Here is a 19,403-nt window from a genome sequence, read left to right as displayed (position 1 = left end):
AAATTTCTTAATGCTGTTTTATAACTTCTAGGAAAAACACATCTCCCAGACCAAAGCAAGAATCCCCTGCAAGTTTCACCTGGATCTGTCCACCTAGGCTTGGAATAGAGGTTTCATGTTCACTCCACATCTCAGAAACACCCTTAGTTATAACCTCTGGGAAGAGATCTGTCAGGTTCTATTACATGCCGGTGAGTCTCTCTGAGGCCAGGGTTGTTAGTCTGACTGTAATAATAATAACAGTTATAGTAGGAATAGCATGGCACCCACAGCAATAGAAGGAGGAATATTAACAGAGGACTTACTAACCACCAGATCATGGCTAGGCACTTGAATTAACATATTTCATCCATTTGAGATAATTACTAACAGCAATGGCAGCAACAGTAGTAACAGCATTGTCAGTGGTGGCAATATCTAATGTTAACTGAGTACTTACTCTCTGCCAAGTTCTAGACTACACCCTTCACAATTATTAGCACATTTGACCCCTATCAAAGAATTACTATTATCTACATGTTGCAAGTGGATTCCGTTTCTGACCAAGAGGGAGTAACCGGGTCTTGATTTACCCTCTTGTCTGAACCCACAAAAATAATAAATAAAATATATGAAAAAATAGTTTTTAAGACACTGGCCAACAAGCAATGGAGGACGGTGATCCCCAAGAGATGGGCACAAATGAGGTGACCCATCTGATTGCCCCAGCTTACTGGAGACCTCTCCAGCCATGGGGCAGGGAGAGGGATAGCAGGAGAATACAGGACTCCTAAGCTGAGGCAACAAAGAAGCAGAAAACACAGTGAGAAGAAAAATCAACCAATCAACACTGGCCCAGAACTGATACAGATGTTCAAATAAGCAAACAAGGACACTAAAACAGTTATTATAACTGCATTATGTATTTGCAAAAGTTAGCTACATGGAATCTGTAAAAGAGGCAAATTGAACTTCTAGAGATAAAAACTATAATGTGTGAGATGTTACAATGAAAAATATATTGGATGGGATTAACAACAGATTAGACATTGCAGATGAAAATATTAGGGATCTTAAAGAAAGAGAAACTATCCAAAATAAGACACCAAGAGAAAGAAAATAATCAAAAATTGAAATGAATAGAGGGTGTGGAACAGAAAAAATATTTGAAGAAATATGGCTGAAAATTTCCAAATTCAATCAGAGCTATAAACCCATAGATCAAAAAAACTCAGCAAACTCCAAGCCCAAGAAACTTAAAGAAAACTACAAGACATCTCAGTATTAAGTTGCTCAAAAACAGTGATAAAGAGACAATCTTAAACCAGAGTAAAAAGACATATTACATACAGAGACAGAGATGAGGATGACAGAAGATTTCTTGTCTGAAACAATGCAAAAATAAAGCAACATTTTTAAAGTACTGAATGAAAAAAGGCATCAGAAAAGGAGATTAGCATTATGTAGAGCTGAAACCAAAAGAAGACCTAGTTAACGCCGGATCCCATCTATTTCAGGGTGCCTAGAAATTTAATATCAGACTTACAGTTTCAAAAATGGACTTTATTAACTATCATAAACAAATATAAATTACAGTCAGATTAAAGACATAAATGTCAGCGTAGAGTTCCATATCCAGCAAAAAATATGTTTCAAAAATAAAGACTGTTTGCAGAAATAAAAAGCTAAAAGAATTCATCACCAGCAAACATGGACTAAAAGAAACGTTAAGGAAACTTCTCAGCAGAAGGAAATTGAGACCGCATGGAAATCTGGATCTATGCAAAGGAATAAAGAGTATCAGAAGTTGTTAACTGCATGAGTAACTGTATAAGGTTTTATTCTTATTAAAAAATAATAATGATGTAATTGTGTCATTTACAACATATGTAGACATAAAATGTATGACAACAGCACAAAAAGCCAGGAGGGGGAAAATGGGAATAACTATCATGAGATTGTAATACCGTCTATAAAGTGCTATAAATACACTCAAAGATCAACTATGATAAGCTAAGGACGTATACTATGAAGGCTAAAGCAACCATTCAAATGATAAAACATAGAGTCACAGCAAACAGACCCCAGTCTTCAGGTCATCTCATGCCTGTGAGCAAAACCACGCTCCAAGCAGTGTGAAGCAGATGGAAGGAATGAGAACCTGGACAGCAAGGAACCCGAGGCCTGGGGCTCAGGTTTCCCCTCCTGGAGAGACTCACCTTTGAAGCTGCAGGCCTCTCATTACAGTTCCATGTGCTTCTCAGCCTCTCATATTCTTCCCTCTTGAAATACCCCATTTGTGCTTTTTTTCAAAGAACAAGGATCAGAAGAGACTTCTCTAATTCTTTCCTTGCTTTCCAAAACAAGAAAGAATTTCACACCTTCTTAGGAGCTAAGGACATAGGCTTAGAATGGCAAGCAGTGGATACCTGGAATAACTGCCTCACACATCCAGGTAGAAAGGACTTGAGGGTGGAGTCGACTATTCTCAAAATGTCAGAGTACTAGAATCCCCACATACCCCTGTTGTCTATCAGTGACCTGGTCTAGGAAGAAATAAGTGACCAGGTGTCTGGCTGAGCAGACCAGTTTTTTGTCTTGCTGAATGGGTGTACAAGATGAAGGGCAGTGTCAGGAAGGACACAGAGAGCCAGCAAAAAAGGAGGAGAGAGAGATTCTGTAAAAAAGAAAAAACATAGGAAAGCTGAGTATGCTGCTACGGGGAGAATTGAGGAAAAGAGGAGGCCATTAGAGATGTGGTGACAATGTTGGTTGTAAGCACTTCCTCCTCCGTCTCCCCCAAGAACCTCAGTAAATATCTGCATTGCCTCTTCAAGTCAGATCTGGGGCTTGGTGAAAAAAGAACAGCTAGGACTATCCTCAAGGGAGGCCTGGGGTGCCCGGTCACACTTATGTCGAGAAAGGTGGTTGACATTCACTCAGGATTTCATTGGCTTGTTCATCTCATCAGTAAATGTTTAATAAGCATGTTCTGTGTGCCAGGCACTGTTCTAGGTGCTTAGGTTTCACCAGTGAACAGCACAAATGTCCCTACATTGTTGCCAGAGAATGCAATAAATTATAAAGAGAATAAATAACTATACACAGAATGTTAGAACATGATGAGTAGAATGGAAAAACGAAAAAGTAGAGGAGACAGTGATTTTAAACAGGGTAGTCGGGGTACAATGCCCCCTTGGTAAAGTGATACTTGCGTTAAGCCTTGAAGGAGGTGAGGGAGTGAGCTATAGTTTGGATATTTGCCCCGCCTCCAAACCTCATGTCGAAATTTGATTCCGATGCTGAAGGCAGGGCCTGGTAGAGGTGTTCGGGTCTTGGGAGAGGATCCCTCGTGAATGGCTTGTCACTGGCCTAGAGGTAATGGGTCAGTTCTCACATGAGAGCTGGCTATTAAGAAGAGCCAGGCACTACCCTCTCTCTCTTGCTTCCTCTCTCCCCATGTGACCTCTGCACAGCCTTCTCCCCTTCACCTCCCACCATCAGTGGAAGCAGCCTGAGTCCCCCACCAGAAGCCAACCAGATACGGCACCGCATTTCCTGTACAGCCTGCAGAACCATAAGCCAAATAAGCCTCTTTTTTTATAAATTACCCAGGCTTAGGTACTTCTCTATAGCAACACAAATGGACAAAGAAAGAATGGAGGGCAATCGAGGTGGGGGAAAGGCAATGCAAAAGTCTGGAGGTAGACTTTCCCAAAACTGTATAATTTCATAAGGACATAATGGATGGAGAGGAGAAAACCTATGGTGGCTATTAAGGCCCTGATGCCACATATGTCAAATGGATATCTTCTGATGGTCATGAATTTGTTGTAAAAAGACAACATGCATTAACATCAGGCGTGATAAAAGCCATGCTGAGTGGCCCAAGTCAACATGGCTTGAGAATGAAACCAGTGAGTTAATTTTAGAGAGATCCCTTAACAGTGCTATCACCAAATCTACGTCTGATTGGTGTACCTGAAAGTGACGGGGAGAATGGAAACAAGTTGGAGAACACTCTGCAGGATACTATCCAGGAAAACTTCCCCAATCTAGCAAGGCAGGCCAACCTTCAAATTCAGGAAATACAGAGAACGCCACAAAGATACTGCTCGAGAAGAGCAACTCCAAGACACATAATTGTCAGGTTCACCAAAGTTGAAATGAAGGAAAAAATGTTAAGGGCAGCCAGAGAGAGAAAGATCGGGTTACCCACAAAGGGAAGCCCATCAGACTAACAGCGGATCTCTTGGCAGAAACTCTACAAGCCAGAAGAGAGTGGGGGCCAACATTCAGCATTCTTAAAGAAAAGAATTTTCAACCCAGAATCTCATATCCAGCCAAATTAAGCTTCATAAGTGAAGGAGAAATAAAATACTTTACAGACAAGCAAATGCTGAGAGATTTTGTCACCACCAGGCCTGCCTTACAAGAGCTCCTGAAGGAAGCACTAAACATGGAAAGGAACAACCAGTACCAGCCACTGCAAAAACATGCCAAATTGTAAAGACCATCAAGGCTAGGAAGAAACTCCATCAACTAACGAGCAAAAAAAACAGTGCTATCAAAAATATTTGTGTATTTTACCTATAAAGTTTCGCTACACTAACAGCTCCACCGAGATTCCTGAATTCCACTGGAAAAGCTGATGGCTATGATTTCCTAAACTGTTAAATAAAACAAATCATAATAAACTGCTAACTTTTTTCAGTATTTAATACCTGTAGTTCAGTTAGTAATTTTTTCATATATAACATGTTGCCTGTATGCAATTGAACCATAAAGTTCATTGCAAGACCGGGCGCGGTGGCTCACGTCTGTAATCCCAGCACTGTGGGAGGCCAAGGCAGGCGAATCACCTGAGGTCAGTAGTTCGAGACCAGCCTGGCCAACATGTTGAAACTCCATCCCTACTAATAATACAAAAATTAGCCAGGTGTGGTGGCACATGCTTGTAATCCCAGCTACTTGGGAGGCTGAAGCAGGAGAATCACTTGAAACCAGGAGGTGGAGGTTGCAGTGAGCAGAGATGGCGCCAATGCACTCCAGCCTGGGTGACAGAGCCAGACTCCATCTCAAAAAAAAAAAAAGAAAAAACAACCATAAAGTTTATTGTAAAGATTATGTTGTTTTTCTGCAAAGCAATCAGAGTTGAAATTTGTTTGCTACATCAACAAATTAAGAATATTTTTACAAGTTGAGAAATAAACTAATATGCCAGCTTGTAGCTGCTTTTGCCTTATTCTTCATATGTGACTTCTTAAATTAAAGCAATGAAGATATAGTAAATGCTGAAATTTAGGCATATATAAGCACATTCTACAGATAAATAATGGGGATAAATATTTTTATTTTTTATGTTTTTTAAGAATCTATTCTGATCTTACAGCCACCATAAGCATTACTAGACTTACACAAATAATTGCATTATAAGCATGTTTATAACTTAGCCAAAACATCAATTTTTATAACTTTTTAAGAATAAGAGTTGAAATTTCATACAAGTTTTTTGACAAACTGCAATATTAATTGTTTCCTTTTCTTTATTGCTATAATTTAAGAACTTTATTTTAAGCAGCTTAGGAAGATTATTAAGTTTAGCTTTTGAAGCAGTAACTGAACTGTAGCCAGATGGTCAACAAGTAAACTACATAATTTCAAGTTCTAGCACATTATACATTTTGAGCAATCAAAGTACTATATTTTCATTGTCTATAAAGTTTCCTTTGCAATTTCCACACACACAAAAAAAGGCAGGAGACAATGGGGATGGGATTTCTTCTGGGAATGATGAAAATGTTCTGGAATGAGTGTAGATGTTGGAGTCCCTTGTGAATACGGTAAAAAAAAAAACACTGAATTATACTTTAAGAGGGTGAAATGTATGTGTGTAAGTTACATTTCAATTTTTTTAAGTGTGCAAGACAGGAGTGTGCCTTGCACATTGGAGAAACAGCAAGGAGTCCAGTATGGCTGCAGTAGAGTTGAACAAAAAAGAGATGAGGTCAGGCATGGGACGGGACATCAGACCACGGAGGCCCTTGTTGGTTTTTGTAAGATCTGTGGGTTTTACTGCAATTACATGGGGAACCAATGCAGGGTTTTGATGCATGTAGTGACATCGTATCGTCTACATTTCAAGGATCAGGCTGCCTGCTGTATCGGCAGTAGCTACAAGGAGACAAGAGTGGAGGCAAGGAGGACCATAAAGAGGCCATTGCAGTGATCCAGGGAGAGGCGATGCAGACTTGGGAAAGCTCAGGGAGAGTGGCGGAAACAGTGAGAAGGGACTGGATCCTGAACATCGTTTGAGGATCTCTCCACAAAATTTGCTGCTGAGTGGATAATGGACAAGAGTGAAAGAAGGGACACATCATCAAGAAAATGAAATTCTGCTACAGATAGGAGTTTTAGGAAATGAAAAGAGGTAAGCTACTGACTGGGAGAACATATTCTTCAGTCATACATCTGACAAAGAACTTGAATCCATAGAACTCTTCCAACTCAACAAGAAGACAACCCAATTTAAAATGGACAAAATATTTGGATAGATATTTCACAAAAGAAGAAATACACATGGTAAGTAAGCCTATGAAACAGCCCTCAGTATTTTCAGTCAATAGGGAAGTGCAAATTAAAACCACATTGAGATGCTACAGAGCAGTTGAAATGGCTAAAATTGGAGACTGACAATACAAGTTTGGCAGGGATATACAGCCATTGGCGCTGTCATACATTGCTAGTAGGAATGTAAAATAGTAAAACCACTTTGGAAAACAATTTGGCAGTTTCTGAAAAAGTTAAACTTAAACCTACCATATGACCCAGAAATTCCACTTTCACATATTTACCCAAGAAAAACAAAAACTTATGTCCATACAAGCCCTTATTCCAAACTCAGTATCTCACTCCTTCCCAATCAAAGCCCTCATCTGCATGGAGCAGACCTACAAATGCTGAAAACCGAACTTTCTCTGGAGCTCTCTTTCTCCTCTGCTTTTCTGCATTTTGACTGAAAGAAATGAGAGTTCCCATGTGCAGCCAGGGAGATTCTCTGGCTTTCATACTTCGCCTTACACTGGTGATTTCTCATCTTCAGACTGTCATTGTTTTTCTCCAAGGTGTTGATGGCCTCAAGGAATGGACACTTGGTTCCAACATCCTTATAATGACTATCTCCAGCCCCCAGACTCCCAAGATGACCACCTGAGATGTCACACTTGCCATATGCTTTCTCCCACCAGCACCCAATCTCAGTCTACCACTGTTGAAAATCTCAACAATTGTTCCCCAATTTGGCACTGGGACTATCAGGGTACACTTAGACCAGTGATGTGGTCTTCATTGCCAGTAAGCCAATGGATGGTCTATCTTCAAAACCCAAATTTAGGTTGTGCTTTGTAGGACCATTTCTGGTACCAATTATCATAGGTTGGGATTACCAAAAAAAAAGAGTCTCTAAAGCTCTGAAATTTGTATGCAGAAGGTTTGTTAGGAATTACTCTTAACAGTCACATCTATAAGGGGTGAGAAAAGCAAAACTGTGCAAAGGAAGTTGAACTGCAAGGTGGTTTCAATGGAAAGCTGAGCTTCAAGAATTTTTGGATCTGGAATGGCTCTTTGGTGTTCTCCCATCTTGAGGCCAAAGTCAGGGCCTGTAGACTCCTCTCCTCCTCAACCAGTTATTGGATGGGGGCTGCCCACAAGAAGTGGATAGGTTGGGCAAGCCAGAGAGCAACCTCCAGAGAGGAATTTGGCTGAGAACTGTCAGCTTCCGGCATGGAGTGCCTCAGTCCTGAGGGGCACCTGGGGAACACAATAGCACCCGCTACACTTGCTGCCCCCTCTCAAACACACCGTGTTCTCTCCCATTTCACCAGTGGAAGTGGATAAACACCAGTATTTCCTTTTCTCAGCCCAGGGCTCTTTCCACTGAGGGTAAGAGAGAGGCTGAAGAGTTTATCCTGCTCTGGACTCATAAAAACAAATGAACACCAGATGACAAGAGGCCCCAATCCTAAGCCAGCAGAAATATGGGTTTCAACCTGTCTGCCTGCCTCCACCCTGGCCTGAACAGAACACAAAAGCCTCCACAAACTTGTTAAAAAGGAATGGAAGAGTTACATACGATTTAACACAATTCAACATATACATAGCTAATATTTATCGAGTGTACATGTCAGAGCTTATTCTAAACACCATGTGTCTATGTGTATTTACATACATAGACATATATACACACATATGCATATACATCAATATATACATATATATGTGTACTCACATACATTTATTTAACCCTTAGAGCAGCCCTCCAAGGAAGGCATCACACTTACACCATTGCAGGTGAGGAGACAGAATACGGAGAGGTGAAGTGAACTTGCCCAACATTTCTAGAGGTCAGGGGAAGAACACCTTTAAGTTCCGGTTCATTTATCCTTCCCATATGTCTTTTCGTAGACTGTGGTCTTTGAGTAACCCATAAATGTGATCATTTTTCCATATGTGTAACAGAGATTCTTGTTATGGCCCCCTTCACTGTGCAGAAGATTGGGGCAGTGTTTCAGCTTCAGTGAGTAGGTCTCGAGGATCATAATCCCAGCATCATGATCACACTCAACCATGTTTGTCTCAAATAAAGCCCTGGGGTTACAGGGTGTGTGTGGGCACCAGGGCAGCCCCCTACAGTGGGACTGGGTGGAACTCTGTGCATGGATTGCAGCCGGTGAGGTGGACAGGGAAAGGACAGCATGAACAGGAAGGGAGCTGGCTGTTCCCACACTTTCCTAGGCCCTGTCCTTGCTCTTAGACGATTGCACTCACAGCCCAGTGTCACCTACCACCAGCACACTGACGACTTCCAGACACATGCTTCCAGCTCCAGCTGTGCTCCCAAATGCAGACCCAGCACTGGCCTGCCTGGTAAATGCCTCCACCTGCATGCACAAAGGAGATATGAACATCTCCAAAACCATCTCACTGTGTCTTTCTTACCTAAAGACACTTCTTTGTGTCCCCAGTTCTGGTTGTTGGGGCCATTATCTACCCACCCACCCCAAGAGAAAACACAGGATCACCCCGTCATTCTCTGATATTGCCCCCTTCTAATGGCTGACAAGCCCAGTAACCTTCCTGCAGGAGCAGAGCACACAGGGCAGTTGGCAGGAAGTCCTTTTGCCTGTCTTCAAGGCTAGCTCACCCCATCTCTGTCTATCAGGAATTTCCTCTATAAATTATAAACCCTGGAAAAATGGTGATTTCTCCAGTCTCCTGTGCCAGTGAGAGACACTGTTAATGAATGACAAGGACTCCAGATCCGTAAATTAAATAAAAATGTATAAACTTGCCAGTTAATAACTTGAGCAAAAATGGCATCTAGTGGATTACTGATTGGCATTAGCAATTGTTTCCAACATGGTTGATGAGAGAAATCAACTGAGGAATCTATTTTAAAAATCCAGTCTCCTGGAACATGCCACCAGGAAGGCAGCCAGCTTACAGACAGGATTCCCAGGTAAATATGAACTTCAGATAAACTGCGAATTGTGGTTTATTCTAAATATGTTCCATGTAATATTTGAGACATACTTTTATTTAATAAAATATTTGTTGCTTACCTGAAATTTAGATCTAACTAAGAATCCTATGTTTTTATTTGCCAAATCTGGCAACTCTGACAGGCCTACAGAATCAAATATGTTTTGAGCCCTTGGGATGGGCTTAATCTGAAATTTCACACAAGTCTGACTGGTCATCAGTGGGGACTAGGGGGCCCTGGTGAGGGGACAGCAGTTCTGTTCCAGACCCTCTGCAGAGCTGCACAGCCTCCCTCAGAATCAGGGGACTCAGCCCCTCACACCCAATGGGACCAGGCAGTGCCATGGCTAGAGCTTCTCGGAGGGCCTAAATGCCAGGCAAGTCTGGCTCATGATGCACTCGTGGCTTTGAGAAGCACTATAATGTGTCAGAGTAAAAAATAAACAAAACTGAAGTCCAGAGAACTCTGCTCATCTGCTGCTTTCTCTATTTACCAGCTATACAACCTTGGAAAGCCACTTAAGCTCTGTGATCCTCATGCATTTGTTTTTTTCATTACAGAAATATTTATTGGGTGCCCTTTATGTGCAAGGTCCTCTGCCAGGCCCTGGGGATTTAACAATGAATAAGGCAGGCATGGTTCTGCGCTCACAGAGGGCACACACATGTAACAGACAAGTAACTAAAAATGTGAAGGCTGTGAATGAAACAAACAGGGTGCTGCTTGGAGTATGATGTGGGTGGGGGCATCTGGGCTGCATGGTTCCCCAGAAGCTGTCTCTGAAAAGGTGACAATTAAGCTGAGACCGGCAGGATGAAGAAAAGCCAGCCATCAGTGAGCCTGGATGTAGTAACCACATCCTTTATTTTCTGTATTCTCATGTTTTTGACATCTGGGGCCTTGCTGACCCCAAAGGGGCTGCCCCTCCCAGCGTTAGCCAGTTCCTAAAGATTGGAAACAGCTCGACCGTACACACCTTTCACGTGCAAAGCAGCCAATCCAGAGTCCATACCCCAACCCCTCCTTCATGGGGCTGTCCTGCAACATTGCTGAGCTCACTTTGTTTCTAGGAGGGTCTCGCAGGTTCCTTGGGATTTTCTATAGAGCTAATCATGTCATTTGCAAATGGAGACAGTTTTATTTTTTCTTTCAAATCTGCATGTCTTTTATATCCTTTTCTTGCATTATTGTACTGGCTAGAGCTTCCAGCACAATGCTGAATAAAAGTGGTGAGTACAGACATCCTTGCCTTTCCCCTGTCTTAGAAGGAAAGCACCATTAAACATAATGCTAACTGCAATTTTTTTGATAAATGCTCTTTATCAAATTGAGGATGTTCTCCCTCTCTTCCTATTTTTTCTGAGAGTTTTTCATCATAAGTGAATATTAGATTTTGGCAAATTCTTTTTTCCACATCAACTTTAGTCTGTTACTCTGGTGAATTACACTGATGACTTTTTTAATATTAAATCATCATTGTATACCTAGAAAAAAAATCCCACTTGAAATTTGTGCATATTTCTTTTTATAAATTGCTGAATTCTGTTCTCTAAGATTTTGTACTATGTCTGGTTTTGGTATGAGACCAGTCTGGTTTTGGTATTACTCACTTCACAAAGATGAACTGGTGTTCCCTTACATTTTCTGGAAAAGATTTTTGTATAGAATTGGTGTCAATTCACCCTTAAACATTTGGTAGAAGTATCCAGTGAAACTATCTGGGCTTGGAAATTTCCTTTTTAGGAGATGTTTAATTACAAATTCAATTTTCTTTAAGTTACAACACTGATCAAAATAACTATTTCACATTGGCAAAGTTGCAGAAATTTGTGTTTTCTGATGAATTAGTTCATTTCATCTACGTTGTCAAATTTGCATGTGTAGAGTTGTTCATAGTAACCCACATCATATTAATGTCTACGGGTCTGCAGTGATATATCAGGTTTCACTCCTGATATTTGTAATTTGTGTATTTATTCTTTCTTTGCCAGTCTTTCTAGAGGTTTATCAATTTTATTGATCTCTTCAAAGAATCATTTTTGTTTCATTGATTTTTTTTCTATTGTTTTTCTGCTTTCAATCTCATTGATATCTGTTCTTTATTTTTTCCTTCCTTCTGCTTACATTTTGAAGTTTTCAAACGTCTTGAGTCAGGAGCTCGGATTATCGATTTTCAATTTTCTCCTTTTCTAGTGCATGTGTTAAGAGATACAAACGTTGCTCTCAGCACTGCCGTAGATGTGCACCCACACATTTTGATATGTTGTGTTTTCATTTTCCCTCAGTTCAGTGTATTTTTTAATTCCTTCAAGATTTCCTCTTTGTCCCGTGGGATTTTTACAAGTATGCTGTTGCGTTTCCATGTGTTCGGAAATTTTCTGATCATTTTTCTGTATTGATTTCGAGTTTGATTCCATAACATTAGATAATGTGTTCTGTATGATTTCAATTCTTCTAAATTTGTTAAGGTTTGTTTTATGGTTCAGCATATGTTCTATGCTGCTATCTACTTTGTGGGCCTGAAAAAAATGTGTGTTCTGCTGTTGCTAGACAGATTATTCTATAAATATTAACCATATACTGTTGGTTGAGGGAGTTTTTGAGTTCTTTTATATCCTTACTGATTTTATGTCTAGTTATTCTAGCAATTGTTGAGTGAGGGACACTGAAGTCTTCAACTATAATTGTAGATTTGTCTAGTTCTCCTTTAAGTTCCATCAGTTTTTGCTTCACACATTTTGTAGCTCTTTTAAATGGCTGTCTTCTTGGTGTACTGACCCTTCATCATTAATAATGTTCCTCTCTGCCTCTGGTAATTTTCTTTGCTCTGAAATCTACTTTATCATTTATTAATATAGCCATTCCTACTTTCTTTTGATTAATGTTTGTATAGATATCTTTTTCCATTTTTTTGTTTTCAAACTGCCTGTATCATTATTTTGAAGTGAGTTTCCTGCAGATAACATACACTTGAGCCCTGCTTTTTAATTCACACTGTCAATCTCTGCTTTTTATTGCTGCATTAAGACTATTTATATTTAATATCATTAATGGTGTGTTAGGACTTAAGGCTGCCACTTTATTTTTTTGCAGATCACAGAACTTTATTAAGATGGAATCACTGCAAATTACCTAGAAGCTACTAGCCTAAGCCAAAATCTATGAGGTTCATATGAACTTAGTTATACAAATAAGAAACAAATGGCAATAAACATATGTGTGCGTGTATCTTTATAGCAGTCTGATTTACAATCCTTTGGGTATATACCCAGTAATGGGATGGCTGGGTCAAATGGTATTTCTAGTTCTAGATCCCTGAGGAATCACCACACCGACTTCCACAATGGTTGACCTAGTTTACAGTCCCACCAACAGTGTAAAAGTGTTCCTATTTCTCCACATCCTCTCCAGCACCAAATGTCCAACAGTGATAGACTGGATTAAGAAAATGTGGCACATATACACCATGGAATACTATGCAGCCATAAAAAATGATGAGTTCATGTCCTTTGTAGGGACATGGATGAAGCTGGAAACCATCATTCTCAGCAAACTATCGCAAGGACAAAAAACCAAACACTGCATGTTCTCACTCATAGGTGGGAATTGAACAATGAGAACACATGGACACAGGAAGGGGAACATCACACACCGGGGACTGTTGTGGGGTGGGGGGAGGGGGGAGGGATAGCACTGGGAGAAACACCTAATGCTAAATGATGAGTTGATGGGTGCAGCACACCAACGTGGCACATGTATACATATGTAACAAACCTGCATGTTGTGCACATGTACCCTAAAACTTAAAGTATAATGACAATTTTAAAAAAGAAAAAAAAAAGAAACAAATGGCATATTCAAAACCATAAAGAAATATCCTGATGCCCAGGTGATGAAGGCTGGGGTGAATAAGTCCTCACATTTATTTCAAGTTGTTAAGGAGTTTGTGGGCAAAGCAATGGTCCCTTGCATGCAAGAAGTCAAAGAGCTCCTCTTGCAATCCTCTTCTGTATGTGATCGAGAGGATAACACGCTTGTCACAGAGCTCTAGCTGCTTCCAGGCCTTTACACATTTCTCCAACTGCTCACATTGCTATCTCACGGTTGTTAGGGGATTCACTCATTCCTCCTCTTCCTCTTCCTCCTCCTTAGGATCTCAGGACCTGCTCAGCATCTTTTGCTCATCCTCCAGTCCCATGTCTGGCTACGGTTCCAGAGTCAATATGAGCAGCAACAGCGGCACCTAATTGACTTCAGGATCAAAAAGGACTTGAATATTTTGTTTTGTTTTTTATTTCTCTGTTTTCTTTTACTTGCTTTGCTGTGGGTTACTTGAACTTTCAGAATTCTATTTTGCTTTATACTGTTTTTGAATGTGCAGCTCTTTGAGTAGCTTTTGTGTATATGGCTGCTGTAGTATTATACCATATATACAAAATATCACACTCTAATGATGTCATTATTTCATCAGTTCAAGTGAAGTATAAGCATCTATTTTTTATAAGTCAATTTACCCCCCTCCATTTATAATTGTCTTGAGTTGTTTATGTTCACCCTGCATAGGATGAATCCCTTCCAAAATTTGATTTAGATGTCAAGACTAATGATACTATATTGACCCCAAGAGAAAATGGAACGGTTCGTGACTCACATAATGAGGCTTTCTGAAAAGAGCACCGCGGCTCACAAGCAGTGCCAAAAATGGCTTGAGAGAGCAGAGAAAAGCTTGGGGTATTTATGGTTGTTAGCGAGTAGGGCCTCAGTGTAGGTTCCTACATGTGGTAAACCTCCCCTGGCTGAAGGAGGGAGAACCCAGGCTTTCTTATCAGTTTGCCCAGATGTGAAGCAGAAACAGAAGGAGGAAGGATGAGGCTTCAAAGCTGTCAACCATCAAACATCAAAAAACTGGATCAAGCTCTGTTACATCATTATTTCATCTACAAACATGTAAAGTTTGTCTCTCCATCTTTTATGTTAAATAGATATTTTCTAATGTACCATTTTAATTCCCTTGTTTCCTTAAGATTGTTTTTGAGTTATTTTTCTTAGTGATTGCTATGGGGATTATACTTCATTCTAACAATCTAGTCCAAGTTAATATCAACTTAATTTTAATGGTATATAAAAACTTTTGCTTCTATATAGCTCCATTCTCTTCATTTCTTTCTTTGTGCAATTGTCATCATAGAAATTACATCTTTTTGTACACCCATTAACACTGTGTTATAATTATTACTTTATTGCATTGACTTTTAAATCAAAAATGAGAAAAAAAAGAAAAAACATTATACCATATTTTATATTTACCTATGAGGTGCTTGTATTTCTTCGTGTGGATTTGACCTACTACCTAGTGTCCTTTCATTTTATCCTGAAGGACTCCCTTTAGCATTGTGGGGGGGCAGGTCTACTAATGACAAACTTCATCTCTTAAATTTACCTGAGAACGTCTTAATTTCATCTCTGTTTTTGAAGAATGATTTTGCTGTATATAAAATTTTTGGTTGACATACTTTTTTCCCCCACATCAGAGTTTGATTTAGTACTGTTGCGAACACACAGAATCTGAAAAAAATCCAATGCAAACAGAATAGATTTCTTGGGATCTAATATTTTTTAATTGCCTGACAACCTACCCTCTAAGAAAATCTATTTAAGGGGGGCAAATTATTTTCGAAAGATGAGTATAAGAGGCAGTTGGAGGAAGGTAAGGAAAATTACCACTACATATTGCAGAAACATACTGGAAGGCAAATATAGCCCAAAGAAAAACCTCCACTGAAAAAAAAATGTTGAATGCTGACCATAGATCTAGCACCCTGCTCCCAGGTCAATAATTTGAACCAAAAAAATTTAAAAGACCTTGCTCAATCCTGAAGTTAGTGAAGGAATATAGGAGGGCTGTGTGTTAATGTTACACATGAAATCAAAGAGCACTGCTATTCAAGGGGCATAATGTCTTGATCTTAGGATCAAATACTCTAGGCCTTGAGCTGAAGAGTCTGCATTGCAGTAGAAAAATGGGAAGTGCTTTATGCACATGGATTCAGGACATACCAGCAACCTACCTGTGCAGCATTGTCTAAGCCATAATGATCTTCCTCATCTCCCACTGGAGGTAGATGTAAGAATCTCTGGCTGGGCGCAGTGGCTCACACCTGTAATCCCAGTACTTTGGGAGGTCGAGGTGGGCAGATCGCGACGTCAGGAGATCAAGACAATCCTGGACAACATGGTGAAATCCCGTCTCTACTAAAAATAAAAAAATTAGCTGGGTGTGGTGGTGCACGCCTGTAATCCCAGCTACTCAGGAGGCTGAGGCAGAAAAATCGCTTGAAACAGGAAGTCAGAGGTTGCTGTGAGCCGAGATCGTGCCACTGCACTCTAGCTTAGAAAAAAGAAGAAACCTTCCAGTCTGTAAGAAGAAATCTCTTACAGAACTTTGATAGAAAGTTGGGTCTTCCCCCTCGCCTGTCTTCTTCTTCTTCTTCTTCTTCTTCTTCTTCTTCTTCTTCTTCTTCTTCTTCTTCTTCTTCTTCTTCTTCTTCTTCTTCTTCCTTCTTCTTCTTCTTCTTCTTCTTCCTCTTCTCCTTCTCCTTCTTCTTCTTCTTCCCCTTCTTCTTCATCTTCTTCTTCTTCTCTTCTCTTTTCTTCTTCTTCTTCCTCCTCCCCTTCTTCTCCTTCTCCTTCTTCTTCTTCTTCTTCCTTCTCCCCTTCTTCTCCTTCTCCTTCTTCTTCTTCCTCTTCTTCCTCATAAGGAAACCAAACATTTATACTTGTTACACCCCCTGAAGCTGAAAGCAATAAAGAATGAACACATACAGCAAGTTGCTAGGTGCATCTCTGTTTAGGAATTGCCTTAACATTGGGTTTCTATTGACAGAACCAGGGAGGAGGTTGCCTCAGACCTTCCTGAAGCTCCATTGTCCCCTGGCTGAGCAGACCACAGCTAATTTTAAGTGGCAAAAGAAATGCAAACAAATTCCTCCAGGATGAGAAGTGTGATTTCGGGCTAAAACGGTGCTCTCACACGGGGTATATGAGCACATTCAACCACCACTAGAATAGAACCTGAGGGTGCGCACTTGGTGCCAACTGCTGGAAAGCTTTCAGTTAGATAAGAATGGAAGAATGCCTGAGTTTTTAGATAATTTTAGACATTGGGATATGGTTAACAGGTTGTGTTCAGGGCCTACTCTTGATATTGTCTAAATAAAAACAAAAATAACTGCCTAAAGAGAACATCTACATCCTAAATGACAAAACATATTATCTGGGTGAAAGGATGATTTAACTCGTGAAACTCAAGAACACAAGAACAACAACTATAATCGTTTCCTTGAACACGGTCGCTAGAAGGGCAAAGCATTTTTCTACATAAAACATTACAATTTTCCCACTACTCCAAAGGAATCCAATAAATAATTGTACAGTGAAAGGGCCTGGATCAAAACTGGAAGTGACACCGGCTCCCGACGAACACAAGTCACAGGTCCCTGTGCAGATCCCAGGTTTGAGTCGTCCAAGAACGCACCACCCCCACCGGCCTGTGGTTTCATCTTTCCCCAATGGGAATGGCCAGAGGGTCCAAGCTGCTTTACAGAAGACTGTTCCATCTGGTAAGCCCGGTGCTGAGCTAAGCCAAGATGACAAACGAAAAGTGGTCAAAGCCAAGGTTTCCTCGCGCTGCCTTTGTCTTCTTCCCACTGCCTGGCCTGAGCCCTGCAGCCGGACCTCACGAGGCGAGTTCTTCGCGGGGCCTCCCCACCCAAGCTGGGGCAAGTCCGCTGCCCATCCAGAGGCAAAGAGCTCCGGGGCTGACTCCACGGCAGTACTTTGCTAGGGGTCCCGGTAGGTGTTCTCATGCTGCAAGCTCTGGAATGAGGCTCTGCATTCGGCCAGGCACGACTCCAAGGGATCCTCGAGAGCAAGGGCCATGAAGAGTCTCTGGAACGCCACCGCTGCGCGGTTAGAAGCGCTCCGGGAGAAATTGTGTCTGGGCTGCAGGCGGCGGGAGATGCAGTCCAGGAGGCGCTGCAGCAGCCGTCGGGCCAGCAGCCTTTGCGGCAGTGTTGCTTTATGCTAGGGACGTTGACTTGACCGCAGCCATGCGCCTGCAAATACTTTCTCTCCCAAACGCAGCCTAGTTCACCCGTGAGGACGTGCTTCCTTTGACTGGAGTTGAGGCATTGGCTGCTCAGGCGACTGCTATAGCCCAGGTTAAACTGCACTTTCCAAGGGATGGGCTGATCGTGGTCTTCAACCTGGAGGAGATTCCTATCTCTCACTGCCCTCTCCTCCTCTTCTGCAGAAGCCAGGGCACACGGTGCCCGCCAGGTTCACCATCTCGCGTGCACACGCGGGGCGCAGAACGAGGCAGGTGCAGACCCAGGCGCATGGCCCCTCCGCGCCCCGCATCCCCACCCTCCAGGCGGGCGCCGCCCCGCATGGGCAGTTGACGTGTTTTTCCTTCAGCATTTTGAATACGTCATCCCACTGCCTTCTGTTCCCCATTTCTGATTTTTAAAAAATTAACCGTTAATCTCATTGAGGATCACAGGTAGTGATAAATCACTTCTCTCTTGCTGCTTTCAAGATTCTCTCTTTGTCTTTGTTTTTGCCAGTTTGTTTATGAGGTGCGGAGGTGTGAATCTCTGCGTTTATTGTACTTGGAGATCACTGAGCTTCTTGCATGTAGAGATGAAAGTTTTTCATCAAATTTGTGGGGGTTTAGCCCTTATTTCTTCATGTATTTTTACCACCCCTTTCCCTCATCTCCTTCCGGGACTCTCATTATACATATTGTGTATGCTTGATCGTGTCCCACAGATCTCTTAGGCTCTGTTTCTTTTTCTTTATTCTTTTTTCTTTCTATTCCTTAGACTGTATATTTTCAATTGACCTACCTTTAACTTCACTGATTCTTTTACCAGCCCAAATATCCCATTCAGCCTCTCTAGTGAACTTTTTTCAATTGAGTTATTATTTTCATCGCTAGAATTTCTATTGTTTTTTTGTATAATTCTATCTCTTGTTGATATTCTCTATTTGATGAAACATTATTCTCATACTTTCCTTTAGTTCTTTAGATATGGTTTCCTTAGTTCTTTATATTTAAAATAGCTTCGGTATTATTTAGTAAGGACAATGTATAGACTTCCTCAAGGACAGTTTCTGTTGACTGCTTTGTACCCCTGTACACGGACCATATTTTCTTGTTTCTTTGAATGTTGAAACTGGACATTTCAAATGATGTAATGTGGCTGCTCTGAAATTCAGGTTCTCTCCACTCCCTGGGATTTCTTTTTGTTGCCACTTATTGTTGTTCTTGCTGCTGCTGTTTGTTTGTTTTAGTGACTTTCCTGAATTAATATTGTAGACTCTGCCTTTTTGTCATAAATGACCGCAGAAGTCACTGCTCAGTTAGCTCAGTGGGCAGCTCACAATTGTGCATAGATTTTCTTAACTGTCTGAAGCCAGTAAGTCTCCCAGTCGTTGCCAAGGGATTGTGAGTACGTTTTGGGAAATGCCTTCTACACTCAGCCAAGTAGTTGACAGCTCTGCCTTAGGCTCTCCTTTTTGCTCTTCAGGACCTCAATATCAGCCAGAAGTGAGAACTTAGAGCTTCTCAGCTCTTTCCTGAACACATGCACGGCCCTGGGCATTTGCACAACCCTGTTCATGCAAGTGGCCTTCCAGGTTCCTAGGATGTGTCAGAGTTTTTCAAAGCCTCCTTTGGACATCTCAGTCTCTAGCTTTTCCCTTTGGGTTTTTATGGTCAGCTTGTCATTTGCCCCAACTATTATCATCACCTCAGGCAGCAGTGATGCTAAACCATCACCACTGATTGTTTTTGACAAATGTCACTGAGGAAAAGGTTATT

The 19,403-nt window shown here is 41.2% G+C and overlaps 3 pseudogenes, besides 2 other annotated features; 1 reads left to right on the top strand and 2 right to left on the bottom strand.

Annotated features, from left to right (window-relative positions):
• Positions 3,631-4,777, top strand: ELOCP30 (elongin C pseudogene 30; annotated as a pseudogene).
• Positions 8,836-9,005: an enhancer, noted in NCBI's record as "experimental_12424 CRE fragment used in MPRA reporter constructs". NCBI's record gives its function as "activates a minimal promoter by MPRAs in K562 erythroleukemia cells, with activity observed for both the introgressed and non-introgressed 10:44232580 or rs17154237 variant alleles {active_cell/tissue: K562}" and the evidence as "EXISTENCE:reporter gene assay evidence [ECO:0000049][PMID:34662402]".
• Position 8,920: a transcriptional cis regulatory region, noted in NCBI's record as "Neanderthal adaptively introgressed variant 10:44232580 (GRCh37/hg19 assembly coordinates) or rs17154237 in the experimental_12424 CRE". NCBI's record gives its function as "modulates activity of the experimental_12424 enhancer by MPRAs in K562 erythroleukemia cells {active_cell/tissue: K562}" and the evidence as "EXISTENCE:reporter gene assay evidence [ECO:0000049][PMID:34662402]".
• On the bottom strand, positions 13,352-13,787 carry UQCRHP3 (ubiquinol-cytochrome c reductase hinge protein pseudogene 3; annotated as a pseudogene).
• On the bottom strand, positions 16,930-17,884 carry SPRING1P1 (SPRING1 pseudogene 1; annotated as a pseudogene).
• Positions 17,885-19,403: the final 1,519 nt, after the last annotated feature.

Source organism: Homo sapiens, chromosome 10, assembly GCF_000001405.40.
Source record: "Homo sapiens chromosome 10, GRCh38.p14 Primary Assembly".
NCBI classification, from domain to species: Eukaryota; Metazoa; Chordata; class Mammalia; order Primates; family Hominidae; genus Homo; species Homo sapiens.
This window is presented reverse-complemented; position numbering and strand designations above follow the sequence as displayed.